The sequence below is a fragment of the Homo sapiens genome, chromosome 11, assembly GCF_000001405.40.
Source record: "Homo sapiens chromosome 11, GRCh38.p14 Primary Assembly".
Classification (NCBI taxonomy): domain Eukaryota; kingdom Metazoa; phylum Chordata; class Mammalia; order Primates; family Hominidae; genus Homo; species Homo sapiens.
In genome coordinates, this window is record NC_000011.10 from 18,874,532 (window position 1) to 18,895,232 (window position 20,701).

The 20,701-nt window shown below is 38.5% G+C and overlaps 1 pseudogene; it reads right to left on the reverse strand.

Moving 5' to 3' along the window:
- Positions 12,393-13,605, reverse strand: MRGPRX6P (MAS related GPR family member X6, pseudogene; annotated as a pseudogene).

A 20,701-nucleotide genomic window follows, 5' to 3' on the forward strand; every position in this document is an offset into this window, starting at 1 on the left:
TTATGCACAGTGTTTCAGTGCAGAGAGGGGTGTTTTCTTTATCAAAGTGGTGGTATTTTAGCAGCTGGTGTTTTCTTTATCAAGGTAATAATGCATTCAGGTGTATATTTTCTTTACAAATGGCAGAGAAGTGAATTCAAGGTCAAAGTGTCCTTGAATCCTATTCTCCAGAGGCCACCACTTGCCATAGTTTACTTTTTTTTTATTATTATCAGCTCTGAATAATACACTTATATTTCATTTTAATTTGTCAGTATGAACAAGTGGACCAATTGATTTCTTTTACACAATGTAAAGAGTTCAGCACTCTTATTTTCTTTCTCTGTCTATTTAATGTCATTTGTTCTTTATATTTGTTAGTTGTGAATTTTCATAATTTTATGTCTTTCCTCTTATGCTTGCATTCTTCTGCCTCATGCTACAGCCAAATCAAGCCACTTGCATTTTAAATAATACAATTTGAATTAGATTCTATTTCAAAAACTGAGAAAAGTTCCTTAATGGATTATTTCAGCAAATATGTAATAAGGACTTTGTTACAGGCAGTATTTTGTCTCTACAATGTTCATATGCTAATGTTCTAACACCTAAGTCAGAATGCTGCTGTATAATATTTGAAAACAGGCACTTCAAGGATGTAAGTAAGTTAAAAAGAGGCTGTTAGCTTGGGCCTTAATTCAACAGAACTGGTGGTCCTATAATAGGAGATTAGGACACAGACACACAGAGGTAAGACCATGTGAAGAGACAGGGAAGAGAAGATGCCATCCAACCCTGCCCACACCTTAATCTCAGACTTCTAGCCTCCAAAGTTGTGAGAAAATGAAGTTGTGTGGTTTAAGCCACCCAGTTTGTGGTACCTTGTTGTGGCAGTCATAGAAAACTAATAGAGATGTACCATGTCTTAGGATTTTTTTCAGGCACTTGAGTTGCAGTTGTGAATAAAACTATACCATGGGCTTCTGGAGTTTATTTCCAAAGGGCTGAATGAATGCCCTCAGAAAGTAAATACAGACTGAAAAGAGAAGAGGTCTGAAGTGTCTTCATCCATGAAACATCTGGAGAAGCTGGATCCAGCAAACCATCCATAGAGAAACTTACCAATGGAGAAAAAGTCTTAGAATTAGACAGAAATACATATGAGAATGTGGTATATGATAAAGGTTGCATGTCAAAATTTTGAGGAAAACATGTAAAGAAGCAATTGTGGGGGAGGGAAGAAAGCTAGGAAGTACAGTGTTTGATAATTTTAAGCCATGGAGTTATTGGTTGGTAATAGTGTCAGTAGCGGCTGAGCAGTTATAAAATTGACCCTTGGTGAGAAGCATGGGAGTCATTGCTGATGTCAATGTGGTTGCAGAGGAAGAATGGCCCAAACACTAACTGGAGAAGGTGTACAAGAGAATGGCAGGTGGTGTGATGGGACTCCTGGACACCACAGACTCCAGCTGAAACACTGTAGAGAAGGAGACAGTGAAGGCAGGTAGCTGCATGCCATGTTACTGTATAAACAACCAGCAGCGTTTCTATATACAAAACAGGCAGTAGGAAGAAATAAAAGAAAATGAACCTCAATTACATCTTCTGAAAAAGAAGGGTAATGAGAATGCTTAAAATCTAGTGTAAGTTTTGAATAAGAACAACATTCCAATATTGATTCATATATGGAAAAGTAGATCAATAAAAACATCACAAGATTAGACATGAATACGCATTGAAATTTAGTATAATAAAGGCGATATACTGAATAACTGTGTAAAACATGGACTATTCAATGAATGGGACTGGGATACTGAGTGGTCATCTAAAATAAAATTAAGTTGAAAATATACTTTACGTATGATTTTGGGATAAATACAGATACATGAAATACTTTTATAATGAAAATATAAGAACCTAAAGAAACATAGGAAGATGTTTTTTTTAAGCTCCCAGTGGGGAATAACTTTCAAATTACAGGACAAACTTTAGAAGACATTAAAGAAAATATTAATAAAGACAAAAACAAAGACTTCATTGGCATGGCATGAATCATCATAATGAAAATTAAGCTGGGAAAATATTGATAATGTATATCATAGCTTAACTGCTAAATTTCCCAATTTATAAAATGTTTCTGTAAAATGTCAGTTCAATATCCAAAAAGCTAATAAGAAAATGACTATAGGTCATGATTTACAATTTCTAGAAAGTAAAAAGGGGTCTTAAAGACATGGAAAGATGAGAATACCAACTCTTAATAAAAGATATGCAAACTGAATTGATACAGAGTTTTATTTTACTTACCAAAATGTAAAAAGCCAAATGTTTGGATAGTGTATAGCATGTGGATGTTATGAGACCAGGCACTCTCCCTCATTTCTGCCGGGGGTGCAAATGGATAAAATAACCTCCAGGGAAGATGATTTTCAACATATAGAAATATATATAAAGTATCATATTTTTCTCCCTATAATTCTTCATCTAGGAATTTATCCTAGAGATATACTTGTGCATGTTGAAGATATATATATATATATATATATTTATATAACTTTGTGTGTATATATACACACACAAAGTTAATAAATGCAGCATTTTTGCAATAAAAAATGGTAACAGCCAAAATGGCCATCAATACTGTATAAATTATGGTCTATTCGTATAGTAGAATACTCTGCGACAGTATCAAAAGAACAACAGGCTGGGCATGTTGTTTCACACCTGTAATTCCAGCACTTTGGGAGGCCGAGGTGGGAGGATCATTTGCACCCAGGAGTTCGAGACTAGCCTGGGCATCATAGAGAGAACCCTTCTCTACAAAAATGAAAATATTAGCTAGGCATGGTGGCTTGCACCTGTAGTTTCAGCTACTTGATAGGCTGACGCAGGAGGATTGCTTAAGCCCAGGAGTTTGAGGCTGCAGTGAGCCGTTATTGGGCTACTGCACTCTAGCTAGGGTGACAGAGTGAGATGCTGTCTGAGTAAATGAAATAAAATAAAAAAACAAGAAACCTGATATGAAAGGGGCTTCATGATACATCAAATAAAGAAAAAAGAATGCAGGCCAATGTGTATTTTGTATGAGATAGACTATATATATATATATATATATATATATATATATATATATAATATATATACATATAAATATATAAACAAGTATATAGTTGTTTTAGCATTAAGTGTCTTTAGATAGATTAAAAATTAAAAACTATAAAAATGTATATGTCTTTGATAATACGGTAAAGAAGCCCGAGTACTTGGAATGAGAATGACCATTTTCAACGTATGCGTGAAAAAATTTTTTGAAACCTGTGACTATATTACTATTTTAAAAAGAAATTTTTAAAAAAATATTTCAAATTTTATTTTAAAAATAAATTTTAAAATAAAGGAAATAAATGTACAGTGATAAATGCAATGATTTAGCTAAGAAAGTGAAATAGGAATATGAGAAGAACACACATAAAGAGATAATGAAAAGGTTAATTAGGTGGGAAAGGGAGGGGGAGAGAGAGAGTTAATTGGAGGTGAGAAAATGAAGATAAGGAGTGTAGAAAACTCTTCTGAAGTGATTTTCTCTAAAGGAAAAAAGAGAAATCAGATTGTGGATGGAGGGAAATGTTGACTTGAGTGGTGTTTTAAGGAGATAGGATAGCTTATTTATACTGTGCTGAATGACCCAATAGAAGAGGAAGCATTGAAGAAGCTGGAGGGAGAGGTGGTCATTATACACAGTGTTTCAGGGCAGGAAGGGGAACCAGCACACAAGGGGAAAGGACGGTTAAGGACAGGAGCGTGCAGAGCCCATTGCCTGACTTGGGAGGGAAGACAGAGAAATGAGCTCAGAGAAATGAGCTCAGAGGCGAACTGACAGGTAGGTTTGTTGTGGGGGAGATGGGGTAATTCTCGGCAGAGCATCACAAGAGAGCGATAAAAGAGTGAGGAGGTGGTTTCAGGAGAGAGGAGGTGGTGTGAAGAGTTTCCTTGGAGAGTGGGAAGCAATTATGGAAATGTTACATGATTGTTCAGGAGATACAAGTGAATATTTGAGGCTCAAGGTCATAAATGTGAAGTGAAACCATTAGGCATGGTAGTGTGTTGTTCTCCAGCCACACTCAGATCTGTGAGAAGAGATATGGAGTTAATAGGAGAGCTGGATTCAACGAAGGCAAAAGACAGATGCTTCACCAAGGAGATATATGCATGGCAAATAAAGGCATAAAATGATGTTCAACATCAGTAACCTTTAGGAAAATACAAATTAATAACACAAAGAGATACTACTACACACCTTTTAATATGGCTAAAATACAAAATATTGATAGTTTCAAATATTGGTCACGATTTGGAGAAATTGGATGTTTTATACCCTGCCAGTGAGAGAGTAAAATGGTAGAGCTACTCTGAAAAACTCTTGCATTAAAAAAAATTAAACATAGAATATTTGACATACAACTCAGCAATTCAATTATGAAATTTATCCTAGAGACTAGAAAACTATATTCATTAAAAAATCTATACACATATGTTTATAGCAGCTTTATATATAAAAGACATATTAGACAAAAATGCAATGGCCTTCCACTTATGAATAGTGAAACAAAGCATCAGAACAAAGAAATACTACTCAACCATGAAAAAAATCAACAACAAATTACTAATACCTGCACCAACTTGGGTCGGTTGAGGACATTATGCTGAGTGAAAAAGCCAGACTCAAAAGATTAATTGTTGTATGATTTCATGTTTGTAACAGTTTTGAAATGACAAAATTATAGAGGTGAAGAATAGATTAGTGGTTAGAAGGGTTTGGGAAGAGACATGGGGTGGGTGTGATAATATGGGTCACCCAAGGGAATTCTTTTGTGGTGAAGAAACACTCCCATATCTTCAATGTGGTGGTGGTTAAATGAATCTATATGTGTGACAAAATGTTATAGAATTACTTGCAAAGACATATCCCACTCGTAAAAAAATGAGTGCATGCAATCACTGGTGAAATCCCATAAGATGTATATTATAGAAAATTGTTTTGTACCAACATCAATTTCCTGGTTTTGATAATAAACTCTATCTATGTAGCACGTCACCATTGGTATATATTAGGTGATGGGTACACAGGAACTCTCAGTACTATTTTTGTAACTTTTTGTTAGATTACAAATAATTCAGAATGGGAAGATAAAGAACTAAAAGTTCAGTTAGTTGGGTTGACTACGTGGATATTGAAGTCATCAAGAATGAGGACCAGAGTTATGCTCGAGAGAAACTTGTAAACTAGACACACAAGCCATAAGATAATATAATAAACATTCACACACCCACCACTAAAATGATGTATATATCAACATTTTGTCATATTTGCTTCCAATCTCTCCTAAAAATGAATACATAAAAATGTACTGATACAACTAAAGGCTCAAACCTGCATCTCTCACTGATCTTTTCGAAACTTCTGAAGCTAATATGCATTATTCTCTCACGTGTAATAACATGTTAAAACAGGAATTTTAATTGAAATATCAAGATACAATAAATATGTATTATAATGGAGGTGCAATGTGACATGTTGAATTTCGGTACAAATTTTCTGATAATAGGTTACCAACTTGTAAGCAATCATCCATATCAAGGCTATGAAAAAGTTTAGAGTTGAATTTTTATGTGACAAATAAAATATTGAACTTAATTTAAAGGTGACCTATCTTCCACACTGTCAATTTGGACCTTTTGCGGCAAAAATATTATATAAGAGGAGTGTGTACATTTCAGTGTTTCTCACTCCTACCTTAACTTCCACACTTGTAGTTTTTTATCATTGCCTTCTGACCCTTAAGTGTTGGCTGTATCCCTGTGAGGAGGGTCAGGAGAGCAGGACATTGCCTTTTTGGCTTGTCTTGCTGGGCTGACCTGGCTGGCCCTCTCTGGAATTTACAACATTGTAGAGTTCTCTCAAGGTAATATAGTAAAACTAATTCCAAGCCCTGTCACATGAAGTCCACAACAGACATTACTCAATGTTCAGAGTACTCTGCCTTATGATCCTTCTTACACGGGATCTTGTAAGCACAACCAAACACTTGGGGTGGCGCAAAGAATAAAACGCATGACATACTAATCACCATTCCTTAAAAAACTCCATGCTTTTATTAACAGTGCCATCATAAATGTCCTCTTCTTTCATTTCCATCTGACCAAATCTTACTCACGTCTCCTTGACCAACAGAAAAATTTATGTGACTGGCAGAAGTGACAGAGGATACATACTGGGTAAATTGTAGAGTCATCAGTTCAAATTCTAAATATTTCAAGAAGCCCTCCCTGATCGCACACACACTTACTAATGATATCTTCTCCATCTCTTCTCTCCCTCCTTTGTGTTTGCATCCTGCAAGGATTCAGGATAGTTTTACCAATATGTTGGGCATGAGTATGGGGCTCTCTTCTATACTCTATGTCACTGCTAAATAACAAGCAAATCCCATCTGTATCTATGGCCAGCATTGGTGCATTGGCAATATCCCTGCCCAGTCCATTCCACACAATCATAAAGGAGGAGCATCCCAGCAATCTCTTCGAATTCTGGGTAACTGCCATGTAGGTGAGAAGAACATGTGCTTATTATGATCACAGTCACTATATAGAGACATGAACTGTTCAGGATGCCTGGATCACAAGAGTAGTTATTTTCAGTTCACAGATCTGATAATGTCAAACCTTACCACTGTATTTTTAAAGCAGAGACTTGAGCACAAATGGCATAATGTCAGTCTGGGGCAATCTCATAACCTCACTATCTGCTTGGATTGCCTGGAATGAGCATGTGCCCCATGTTGATCATGCAGTCGGCTTGAGAATCCCAGTTCCACGAATTCAGGTTCACAGTGTTCTTTTCATTCTAGCACTTGAAGATTCTGCATCCCTTCAAATGCTAGGATTTCTTGATGCTGAGCTGGGCTTGGCTGTAGGCAAGGGCTTTATATGCTGGACACGTGGTAGTGGGAATAGTTAGTCTTGCAACACCCATCCATGCCCTAAGCACCTGCAGGGACTCTTCTGCTGTCTTCTGTCCATCCCTGTGTTTGCATCCTGCAAGGATTCAGGACAATTGTACCAATATTATGGGCATGAGTATGGAGATCTCTTCTTCTGTACTCTGTTGTTACTGCTAGATAACAACAAGCAAATCCCTTCTGCATCTATAGCCAGCATTTGTGCATTGACAATATTTCTGTCCAGTCCATTCCACACAATCATAAAGAAGGAGCATCACAGCAATCTCTTTGAATTCCAGGTTCCACAAATACATGCTCAGTATGTTTTTATACAGTGAACAGAGAATGAGTGAGTGAGTGAGTGAGTGATATTGCTATAAAAAGTTTACTTAATGATACATTGAGGACTGTTAAGGTGGATAGGTTAATTAAAAATATCTGTTAACCAGCAATTATAAAAAGATTACATTTGTAAGAAAAAAATTTCATTTTTACCTAGAATTAATTCACTAGAAAAGGACTAGACTGAAGGGCTTTCCATTCTGCAGGTTTCAGCAAATAGAATTCCACTCTGTCTGTCTTACAGAAGGCATAGCTATCAATCACTTTTTAGGATTTCCAGTTTAAATTTGTGTAAGTGTAGATTTTTTATCTTTGAAACTTCTATTTATTTATTTTTCTTTATTCTAGAAAAAGGGGGATAATGTGTAGAATGTGCAGGTTTGTTACATAGGTACACAGGTGCCATGGTGGTTTGCTGCACCTATTTACCCATTCTCTAAGTTCCCTCTCCTAACCCACATCCCCCAACAGGCCCTGGTAATGTGTTTTTCCCCTGCCTGTGTCCATGCATTCTCATTGTTCAGTTCCCACTTACGAGTGAGAACATGCGGTGTTTGCGTTTCTTTTCCTGTGTTAGTTTTCTGAGGATGATGGCTTCCAGCTTCACATCCTGCAAAGGACATGATCTCATTCCTTTTTATGGCTGCATAGTATTCCATGGTGTATATGTACCACATTTTCTTTATCCAAGCTATCATTGATGGGCATTTGGGTTGGTTCTGTGTCTTTGCTATTGTGAATAGTGCTGCAATAAATATACATGTACATGTGTCTTTATAGTAGAATGATTTATATTCCTTTAGGTATATGCCCAGTAATGGGATTGCTGGGTCAAATGGTATTTCTGGTTCTAGATTCTTGAGGAATCACCACACTGTCCTCCACAATGGTCGAACTAATTTACATTTCCAACAACAGTGTAGAAGTGTTCCTATTTCTCCACAGCCTTACCAGCATCTATTGTTTCCTGACTTTTTAATAATCACCATTCTGACTGGCATGAGATGATATCTCATGAAAATGGCCATACTGTCCAAAGTAACTTATATATTCAATGCTATTCCCATCAAACTACCATTCACATTCTTCACAGAATTAGAAAAAACTATTTTAAATTTCATATGAAATCGAAGAAGACCCTGTATAGCCAAGACAATCCTAAGCAAAAAGAACAAAGCTGGAGGCATCACACTATCTGACTTCAATACTACAAGGCTATAGTAACCAAAACAGCATGGTACTGGTACCAAAACAGACATATAGACCAATGGAGCAGAACAGAGACCTCAGAAATAATACCACACATCCACAGCCATCTGATCTTCTACAAACCTGACAAAAACAAGCAATGGGGAAATGTTCTCCTATTCAGTAAGTGGTGCTGGGAAAACTGGCTAGCCTTATGCAGAAAACTGAAACTGGACTCCTTCCTTACACCTTACACAAAAGATTAACTCAAGATGGATTAAGACTTAAATGTAAAATCCAAAACCATAAAAACTCTAGAAGAAAACCTAGTCGATACCATTCAGGACATAGGCACAGGCAAAGACTTCATGACTAAAACACAAAAAGCAATGGCAGCAAAAGCCAAAATTGATAAATGGGATCTAATTAAACTAAAGAGCTTCTGCACAGCAAAAGAAACTATCATCAGAGTGAACAGTCAGCCTACAGAATGGGAGAACATTTTTGCAATCTATCCATCTGACAAAGGGCTAATATCCAGAATTTACAAGGAACTTGAACATATTTACAGGAGAAAAACAACCCCATCAAAAAGTGGGTGAAGGATATGAACAGACACTTCTCAAAAGAAGACATTTACATGGCCAATAAACATATGAAAAAAAGCTCAACATCACTGATCATCAGAGAAATGCAAATTAAGTGTAGATCTTAATATCAGATATATTGCATTCTGTCTGAGAATATGTTTCAATTGTGTTCATCTATGTTCAGTCTTGTTTAGTAGGGAGGCTTACAACTAATGCACTAACAGTAATTTTGGGACTTGCTTTTCTCTTCCTTTAAGCATCCACATTACTTTTTATTGAAACCACAATTGTTCTTTAATACTCATATTTCATTGATATGTTGTGTTTAGATAAATTAGGTAATTACATTGGCAAGTCTAATTGGCATAAGCAGGACAGGAAACAGATCCAATTGGTTCTTGTGAAGCTGATGTCTCAGTGCTCTTGAGCCCAGGTGTACAGGAGCATCAGTGAATGACCATGAGGGCTCAGTATTTACTCCGCATCAACCAATACATTTTCTAGATGGAATGGATAGGATTGGTTATACAGATAGAGTCTGTTAGCCAGAGATGTATTGGAAAGGTTTTTACATGTATGTAGAATTAACACAGTGCCTGATGAATTAGGTTTAAATGTTTGTTGAATGCATACATAAAAAATAATCATGAATGGCAGCTCCCAAAATGTGCCATGAGGGACTTTCATATCATTTCTCTCTTCTTGGAGGAAACTCTTGGATGTCCTGCATGCTCTTCTTCAACACGTAAATTAGAGGAAATGATATCATTGGCCTTGGAAAGAAGGCAGCTCCTGAGCAGACTCCTGCATCTCCTGTCCCCACTTTCTTCTCTCCGGAGTCAGTGAGCAGACCTGCAATGAAAGGGAAGAGCTGTTCTCAAAACAACCAACTCCAGAGGACACTCTCTTCTCTTGAGTGGAAGGTTCCTGTAGGAGCTCCAGTGAGACCTGGTGACTAACACATCCTTTGCAAGATGCTAGACAACCCTGTGATTTTCAGGTGGGAGCTGCTTGAGAAAAATAGTTGCCGAGCATCTTGTAAATTCCACGCCTAGTCTGTTGCGCTAGAAATTCAAGGAAGTGTTTTCTGCTCTTAAAGACCTTACAGTGTGGTTGAAGAGCAAGACATGAGGACAAATCATTCAAGTACACTCTTATAAGTGCTATAGTAGAGCAATGTGTGGGGCCAAATGAGTCCAGAATGGCCTTCAGGGGCTGAATATAAGCTTTCAGGAGCTTAAAGTATTCTTATAGTTAAAAGAAAAAGGAATGTCACTGTCAACAAAATAACCAGTTTCCCAGAGAGGGCCAACAGTCTTTGGTTCAATTGTTAGGTGAAATTTCTCTCCATGGCTCCTCATTATGGACAAAATTGTTAGCTGAAGCTATACAATTGATGATACCACAGACTCAAGGTGGACTCTCCTGATAACCCCCAGTCTGAACTAATGACATCACATCAAAACCCCATGCCTGGAGAATTGACTGTAAACACTGTCTTCCTGCCTCCTTGTACCTATAGGAACCCTCACATATAGCCAAGTCCTACTATGGTATTTGTAAATCAAGCATGGACATATAGGATACAGAATCAGCAAAGAGCGAGGCCTGGAAGAGGAATGGATCTGGATTCAAGAGGCCTGAGTTCTATAGGTTGAACAGTGTTGTAAGAGCCATCAAAAATATTTTTTTTGAAAAGTGGAAAATAATGGGCTTTTTTGCCACTTTTTAAGCTACTTTATACTGTCTCCTGAGTACTCAAATTGCATTTGTCAGCTCTCCTGTGTGAGGGTCAATCTGAGGGACATCCTCACTGCTGTGAGCAGCTCAGAGCCCACTGTGATGTCCCATCTTCTCTTGGTGGTCTCTTCTGTCTGCTTGAGTTACCTGTGGAAGGGTTAACCACTGGCAGAGACTAGTCCTGATTTGTACTGATCCTAAGTTCTCATAATTAAATGTTTTTATTTGTGGTAAAGTTTATATAACATACATTTTACTAATTTAACCATTTTCAGTGTACAATCCAGTGGCATTGAGTACGTTGACAATGAGCTATAACTATTACCACTCCCTCTTTTAAGAACTTTTCATTATCACAAACAAAAATTTTATGCTGATTAAATCCTGTTTACACATTCTCCCCATTCCTCACCATCAGGTTCCTAATCTATTTTCTGTGTTCATCAGTTTTCCTAGTTTGGATACTTCAAAAATTTGAACTTACAATATTGTTCTTTAGTGTCTGGCTTATTTCACTTAGCACAGTGTTCTCAATGTTCATCTGTGTCACAGCATGTATTAGAATTCTCTAACAATGCTAAGCTATTATCAAGATACTGTAATTGACATTATCATGGAAAGGTCAGATATCTTCAATCTTGCTTCTCATGGTGACTAGCCATGAAGCTAACTAAAAGTTACAACCAGAACAACTTATACAAAAACGGGAAGTACCCAGAATTCCTCTACAACTGAAGGAATCTGTCAGCAAATAATAAATGATTTCAAGATAATTTTCACATTGAAACCAATACTGAGGTTGCAAATGGCCAAATTAGAACTGATAGGGCATATTTATATACTCTACACTTGTTCCTTGGTCCAGGGATAGCTAAATAAGCACATACTAGTTCTCAAGGGGAAGGGGCCATGGTTATCTTCACTGGAAACCTAGGCCAACCTGTCACCATGCTGTGGACAAATGACAGCGCAGGACTTTTCATAAAACCAGTTTCCTGGACTGTTTTTATGAAGACAGAGAGTTTGTCTCTTGACATTATTTTCCCTTATATCTGAGAATTCAATGAAATTTAGAGGCAACAGAACTTACTTATCAAGAGTTGAGCTTCCTACCTGCAGCAATGCCTCCAATCATGGAAGGGAACATGATTTTCCACGGAACATAGTCTGAGAGATAAATAAGGAATCTTCCTTTTTGACACTGTTAGGTAAATAAAAATTATGAAGCAGAATTTTGCAGTTTTGTGCAGGAATTCTTTCCATTCTAATGAAAATTGCAAAAAAAAATGTTTTCAGTAAAAAAAATTCAGTGGAAGAAAACAGGATAAATTGATTGCTAATGTGAAGAAGAATTTAAACATTGTACCTTAAAATTAATGCTTTCTCTGAGTAAAACTAGAAATGTGAGATTAAAAATAAAACTATTTGAAGATACTGGGGTGTCACTGGGGCATTTCAGAGGCACAAAGATGAGAAAAACGCATATAATTGTCAAGAGTGGCAGGGTAGTGTTGCTCTCAAAGTCCCATCTGACTAACAGGGCAGAGGCTCTTCCTCATGGCCCCAATCTGCTTCCCGACAGCTTCAGGGTTTCCTCAGGAAGCTGCCCTCCACCTTCATCCACCTCAAGCATGTCCTGCAGAGCCCTCTGGAGAACCAGCTTGAGGGTCTTCCTGTTTTGAAGCTGCCTAAAGGAGCCCATGAAGAAGTAAATGATGGGGTTGGCACTGCTGTTAAGAGCAGACAGGAAAATGGAAATTAAACGAACAACACAAGGTAAGTCATCCAAATCCTTCTCGATCCAGTATAATAGGAATCACTGAATGCTGAGGGGCAGGCTGCAGAAGAGGAAGACCAGCCCTGTGAGCAGGATGGTCACATACAGCCTGGTCAGCGGCATCTTCTGGGATCCACATATGATCCTGACAAGCAGGACCAGGGTGAACCCACAGAGAACCACAGATTAAAAAAATCAGCCACACAGCAGTGAGGAAATCTAATATTTGACACCAATTATCAGAGTCAACATCACTAAACAGGAAGCTACAGAACATCCACTCCAGGATGCTCTGCAACAGGGACAGGGCCCAGAGCAGGACACACATGACCGCTGACAGGTGTGTGGGGCAGTGGCAGCAGTACCAGATGGGCCACAGGACGGACAGGCGGTGCTCGGTGCTGATGGTGCTCAGCATGCTCAGGCCTGTAATACAGGCGGAGAACAACACCGTGGTGACAAATCTAGAGAAATGGATGGAGAGAGAACTAACAAAGTCACTGAAGAAATTAATGAATGTTATAATCTGGAAGCAGGTGCAGAGGAAGTCAGCCCTGGCCAGGTTGAGGATGTAGAGAGAGAAGGTGTTACTGTGCATGCAGAAGCCCAGGAGCCAGAGCATGACTGCATTTCCTGCCAGCCCGACCAGGTCAATGATGAGGATCAGCACTATGAGGACCAGGACCTCCATGCCACAACGATGAGGATGGGTCTCCTCTGTATCACTAATTGGTGCAATTTCTGTATCCAAGGCTGGGATGGTTGGATTCATGCTCAGAAACCCTAGTCTGGTGCCCCTGGGAACACAAACAAGATGTGATCAGCAGCTGTATGATCTCTGATTCTCACCACCACCCTGCTACTTGGGAAGTACTGTCCCCATTTTACAGAGGAGAGAAACAAGCTCACAGAGAATAAGTAACCTATTAAAAGTTGAGGAGTCCTCAACTCCAGATTTAAACCCAGTTCTTGCTGGCTTTAAAGCCTGGGCTCTGTCTATTGCAAAACAGTTTTCTACTGACATGGGAATAACATTATGATTGAAACACCTCCATTCAACCAGCGTGGACTGTGGACTGAAGCATTACTCTGTCCTGGGCCGGAAACTTTCTCTAAGGTGCAGGAATTCGGATAGACAAAGAGGTGGCTGTGACACCCTCATGATTTAGAGTGGTCCTCCATGGATGAAAATGAAGATCATGCATTGTGGACATGAGGAAAATGTGACATCTTGCTAGTACAAGTGTGATGATGGCTGGGCCTGGTGAGCTAGAAATGGCGCAGTGTGTCAGTCATTGACGATAGAAACCTTTTTATATCCCCAGTGCCTGGCTCCCTGTGCAGCACACTGTGTTCTTCAGAAATATTCATTCAGTGAATGAATGCATGAATGAACAGCCGAATGGTAGTTTAGCTTTAAGTAAAATGGAGAATAAAAATGAAAACACAATTCAAGACATTAGAACACACACATATAATGAGATAATGAAAATCTCATTCATCAGAATTTTGTGGACAGCTCTGTCAAAAGGAATTACTGATATGTGACCAAGTACCTGAGGTTGACCACTAATGTGCCTTTGAAATGAGGCTCAATGTGGCTTTGCTGAGCATCTAGAAAATTTTTGTATGCAGTGTCGGGGTAGGGTGTGGATCTGAACTGAATTTCTCAGCAATATAGAAGAGGAAAGAATAAGTGAGGGTGAGATCGGAGTGCCACCGAAGGGGGACTTCTAAGTGTTCTGCTGGGTATACACAATGCAGACCCACTCGATTTTGTCACACAGAAGATTTTTGGTAGAGTTTTTTTGTTGATAGAAACAATGTTTGAGAGGAGTCCACAAGGGGAAATAGGAGTTCAGGGCTTGGAGCGTAAAGACAGATGTTGATGTAGATGTCAACTGGTGAAAGGGGGCTAGCTTATATCTTGGTTAAGATGCAAAGGAGCTGGAGGCCTCTAAGTGGAAAGAAGACACATCCTCCACTGGGAGTACAGAGGAGCATCAGGAGTGAATGCATCCATCATGAGCTCTCTTGGAGAGAAAAGCTGCCACAGTGTTGGTTGGCCTGAAAAGGAAATGGGAGGAAAACTAGAACCTCTGTTATCCACACTCAGGGTACTTAACAGTTTGACCATCTAAATTTAGGGTATAATATGTTCGTCTTCCTCATGAAACTTGAAGCCCCATAAAGACTAAGCCATGCCTGTTCTTGTTCACTGTAGTATCACCAACATTCAGCTTGTATTCCTCAAAGACCATCTATTGTAATACCCTCATATAATACGCCAAGTAGCTGAGGCTTAAAGAATCAAAGGATTTTCCTGAGATTGCACCACGAAGAGCAGATCCAGCACAGCCCCTCATCCCTGGAGCCCTGCATGAGCATTCTCTATTGCTCTCTACCCCATCATTCATTATTTCTGAGGAGTTTCTGAAAAATCTTTGGGTGAGAACAGAATCTGCTAGATAATCAGGGGCTTTAGAATCTACTAGATTGCCCCAATATCTATTCTCCTTTTCAGTCATATCACTATTCTGGACTCGAAAAGCAGCACAAGGACCCACATCCCAGTTTTCTTTGATGCTGGATGACATCGTATGATCAGGTTCTGGTCAATGGGAGGTGAGCCAATGTGATGTAAGAAAGTCCTGGCTCACAGGATCAATAGAAGGAGCATAGCCTCCCCTTCCCCTCTAAATCTAAGTTCTTCTCCATAAGGCTGGAATGCTGATGTAACTGACAACCATGTAATACCACAAGGATGAGGGCACCTCTCTAGACATTGGGGAGCAGCAATTTTTGGAGTCCTAATGCCTGATGCCTTGGAGCCTCCAACTCAGGTCTTAAATACAGTCACTCCTGCGTATCAACAGGGGATTGGTTCTAGAACCCCTGCACACACAAAAATCTGCAGATGCTCAATTTTCTTATATAAAATGACATAGTATTTGGATATAACATATGCACTTTCTCCTTTATACTTTAAATCATTAGTAGATCACTTATAATACCTAATAAAATATAAATGCTATGTAAATAATTGTTATACTGCTCATTTAGGAAATAATAAAAAGGAAAAAATAAGTCTGTACCTGTTCAGTACCTATACAATTCCTGCCATATGCTGCTCTTTTGGAATGTTTTCTATCTCTGGTTTGTTAAATTTGCAGATTCAGGACCTACTGACATGGAGGGACAACTTTGTTTTCTTGTCTAAGATATTTCTACTTTGGGTCTCTATTAGAGAAACCAAACTTACACTCTAACCAAAAGAAATGTTTTCTCTTTTTGAAAATTACACTTCATTTCCTAGGCATTTTTGATGAATGCATATATTTCTCCATAATACTGAAACTTGAACAAGAATTTTTAAACAGAAAAATAACTGTAATAGAGCTGAGATGAGACATGATTTAATGACGTTTAAATAAAGAAAACCTTAGGAAGGAGGAGGATATAGAAAGGTGGAAGGACAGTCCCATTTATTATGAGGATTTGCTTTCCAATCTTCTCTACCCTGTTTGACAACCCAAGAGGGTGGCTTCTATGTACCTCATCAGTGAGATTCTTTTCATTCTGGTGTCTGGTTGAACTGAGACACTGGGAGACACCAGCAGGAGACTGGAAAGCAGGAGGGGAGTCATTTGAGATCTCCACCTGCTGGCTGTCTGCCTGTGTGGCTGTGTGTTTGTGATGCAGGGCTTCTCCACTTGCCTGGTCATCCTCTCCCAACCCTACAGCTACAGCTATCGTTATGCTTTCAATGGTACCTGCTCCTTTCCTGTTCTTTTAAGCCTAGGGAAGAAAGTCATGCTCCACTATTGCTACTTAGGGTGCATCCCCAGGCATTGTCACTTTCCTTTAATGCTGCCCATCTTTGTAAATAGTCTCCTCATGAAACACTCCTCAATTATATTTCAGACCACCTATTCCTTCCTTAGACCTTTCCTGATAGGCAAAGAATAATGTTAAAAACTAAGTAAAAAGAGTAAACCTCCTTTTACAGCAGTTCAGCTGTTAGAAGTCATGCCTGCAAGTCCCCTTGCTCCTTAAATGAATGTAAGAGACAATATTGTCTCCATGACAGCAGATTGAATAAGTGGAATAAAGGGAGTGATGTGGAAAGGTGGATCAGAAGGGAGAAAGTTCTGCCTGGCTCCATTTGGAATTCACACAGTCTAGGCTGCCAGCACTCAGTTTCCAGAAGGAAGCTTCATGTCACCCGCCTTTTCCTGAAACAGGCTCATGACCCCCTGCATGTAGCTCCTTAAGGTGGAAACACAGGGATGTGAACTTATAGCAAAAAACATAACTTACTGTGGAAAGAAGAGAGTTCTTGGTACATACCCTTACCTTTCCTCCTTCTTCTGTCCAGAGTTGAAGAAGTGCTGCCTCTTGCTAAAGAGGTAGAGCCTTTCTGGGATTCAGTGACTTCAGAGGACCCTTTTGTGTTGTGTAATTTAGGAGATATCTAGAGGAGCTAGAATGAGAGCTGGTGACCAATCCAGGCTTATGAAGATACCGGGCAGCCTTGTGATTTCCTGTATGAAGAATGCAGACAAATCAGAGGCCAGAGCTGTTTGAGCTAAAATCCCTATCTGAGATGTTTCTTGGCCTCTGTCCCATTTTAAATACATCTCAGCCACTCCAATCTCATCCCATCTTGTTCAACTCTTTGTAATTAATTGTTGTTTTGAATCTTTATAATCAATTATAGGCCTAAGTATCAATATCAGGCAATGTGAACTTGTGCTGCGAGGCATTGTAGGTACTCATCCTTTTTTACGGCTGCATAGTATTCCATGGTGTATATGTGTGATATTTTCTTTATCCAATCTATCATTGATGGGCTTTTGGGTTGGTTCCAAGTCTTTGCTATTGTGAACAGTGCTGCAATAAACATATGTGTGCATGTGTCCTTATAGTAGAATGATTTATAATCCTTTGGGTATATATCCAGTAATGGGATTGATGGGTCAAATGGTATTTCTGGTTCTAGATCCTTGAGGAATCTGTCTTCCACAATGGTTGAACTAATTTACACTCCCAACAGTGTAAAAGCATACCTATTTCTCCACATCCTCTCCAGTGTTTGTTGTTTCCTTTTTAATGATTGTCATCTTAACTGGCATGAGATGGTATCTCATTGTGGTTTTGATTTGTGTTTCTCTAATGACCAGTGATGATGAGCTTTATTTCATATGTTTGTTGGCTGCATAAATGTCTTTTGAGAGGTGTCTGTTCATATCCTTCACCCACTTTTTGATGGGGTTGTTTGTTTTTTCTTGTAAATTTGTTGAAGTTCCTTGTAGATTCTGGATATTTGTCCTTTCTCAGATGTATAGATTGCAAAAATTTTCTCCCATTCTGTAGGTTGACTGTTCACTCTGATGATAGTTTCTTTTACTGTGCAGAAGTTCTTTAGTGTAATTAGATCCCGTTTGTCAATGTTGGCTTTTGTTGCCATTGCGTTTGGTGTTTCAGTCATGAAGTCTTTGCCCATGCCTATGTCCTAAATGGTATTGTCTAGGTTTTCTTCCAGGGTTTTTACAGTTTTAATGTAAAAAGACTTATGTTTAAGTCTTTAATCCATCTTGAGTTAATTTTTGTATAAGATGTAAGGAAGGGGTCCAGTTTCTGTTTTCTGCATATGGATAGCCAGTTTTCCCAACATCATTTATTAAATAGGGAATCCTTTCTTCATTGCTTGTTTTTGTCAGGTTTGTCAAAGATCAGATGGTAGTAGATGTGTGGCATTATTTCTGAGGCCTCTGTTCTGTTCCATTGGTCTATATATCTGTTTTGGTACCAGTACCATGTTGTTTTGGTTACTGTAGCCTTATAGTATAGTTTGAAGTCAGGTGGTGTGATGTCTCCAGCTTTGTTCTTTTTGCTTAGGATTGTCTTGGCTATACAGGTTCTTTTTTGTTTCCAAATGAAATTTAAAGGAGTTTTTTTCTAATTCAGTGAAGAAAGTCAATGGTAGCTTGATGGGGATAGCATTGCATCTGTAAATTACTTTGGGCAGTATGGCCATTTTCACAATATTGATTCTTCCTATCCATGAGCATGGAATGCTTTTCCATTTGTTTGTGTCCTCTCTTATTTCCTTAAGCAGTGGTTTGCAGTTCTCTTTGAAGAGTTCTCCTTGAAGGGAGAATGTACAAATTCTCCCTTGTACGTTGTATTCCTAGATATTTTATTCTCTTTGTGGAAATTGTGAATGGGAGTTCACTCATGAATTGGCTCTCTGTTTGTCTATTATTGATGTATAGGAATGCTTGTGATTTTTGCACATTGATCTTGTATCCTGAGATTTTGCTGAAGTTGCTTATCAGCTTAAGGAGATTTTGAGCTAAGACAATGGGATTTTTTAAGTATACAATCATGTCATCTGCAAACAAAGACAATTTGACTTTTCTTCTTCCTATTTGAATACACTTTTTGCCTTATTGCCCTGGACAGAACTTCCAATGCTATGCTGAATAGGAGAGGTGAGACAGGACATCTGTGTCTCGTGCTGGTTTTCAGAAAGAATGCTTCCATCTTTTGCCCATTCAGTATGATATTGGCTGTGGGTTTGTCATAAATAGCTCTTATTATTTTTTGATACATTCCATCAATACCTAGTTTATTGAGAGTTGCTAGCATGAAGGGGTGTTGAATTTTATCGAAGACATTCTCTCCATCTGTTGAGATAATCATGTAGTTTTTGTCATTGGTTATATTTATGTGATGGATTACGTTTATTGATTTGGGAATGTTGAGTCAGCATTGCATCCCAGGGATGAAGCTGACTTGATTGTGGTGGATAAGGTTTTTCATGTGCTGCTGGATTCGATTTGCCAGTATTTTCTTGAGGATTTTCGCACTGATGTTCATCTGGGATATTGGCCTGAAATGTTCTTTTTTTGTTGTGTCTCTGCCAGGTTTTGGTATCAGGATGATGCTGGCCTCATGAAATGAGTTAGGGAGGATTCCCTCTTTTTCTCTTGTTTGGAATAGTTTCAGAAGGAATGGTACCAACTCCTCTTTGTACCTCTGGTAGAATTCAGCTGTGAATCTGTCTGGTCCTGAGCTTTTTTGGTTGGTAGGCTGTTAATTACTGCCTGAATTTCAGAACTTGTCATTGGTCTATTCAGAGATTTGACTTCTTCCTGGTTTAGTCTTGGGAGGGTGTATGTGTCCAAGAATTTATCAATTTCTTTTAGATTTTCTAGTCTATTTTCATAGTGGTGTTTTTAGTATTATCTGATGGTAGTTTGTATTTCTGTGGGATCGGTGGTAATACCCCTTTTTCATTTTTTATTTTGTCTATTTGATTCTTCTCTTTTTTCTTCTTTATTAGTCCAACTAGTGGTCTGTCTATTTTGGTAATCATTTCAAAAAAACACCTCCTGGATTCATTGATTTTCTGAAGGGTTTTTTGTGTCTCGATCTCCTTCAGTTCTGCTCTGATCTTATTTTTTTTTTTGTCTTCTGCCAGCTTTTGAATTTGTTTGATCTTGCTTCTCTAGTTCTTTTAACTGTGATGTTAGGGTGTTGATTTTAGATCTTTCCTGCTTTCTCCTGTGGGCATTTAGTGGTATACATTTTCCTCTAAACACGGCTTTAGCTGTGACCCAGAGATTCTGGTACATTGTGTCTTTGTTCTCATTGTTTTCAAAGAACTTATTTATATGTGCCTTAATTTTGTTATTTACCCAGTAGTCATTCAGGAGCAGGTTGTTCAGTTTCCATGTAGTTGTGGGGTTTTGAGTGAGTTTTTTAATCCTGAGTTCTAATTTGATTGCACTGTGGTCTGAGAGACTGTTATTATTTCTGTTCTTTTGCATTTGCTAAGGATTGTTTTACTTCCAATTATTTGGTTAATTTTAGAACAAGTGTGTTTTGGTGCTGGGAAGAATGTATATTCTGTTGATTTGTAATGGAGAGTTCTGCAGATGTCTATTAGGTCCACTTGGGACAGAGGTGAGTTCAAGTCCTGAATATTCTTGTTAATTTTCTTTCTCGTTGATCTGTCTAATATTGACAGTGGGGTGTTAAAGTCTCCCACTATTATTGTGTGGAAATCTAAGTCT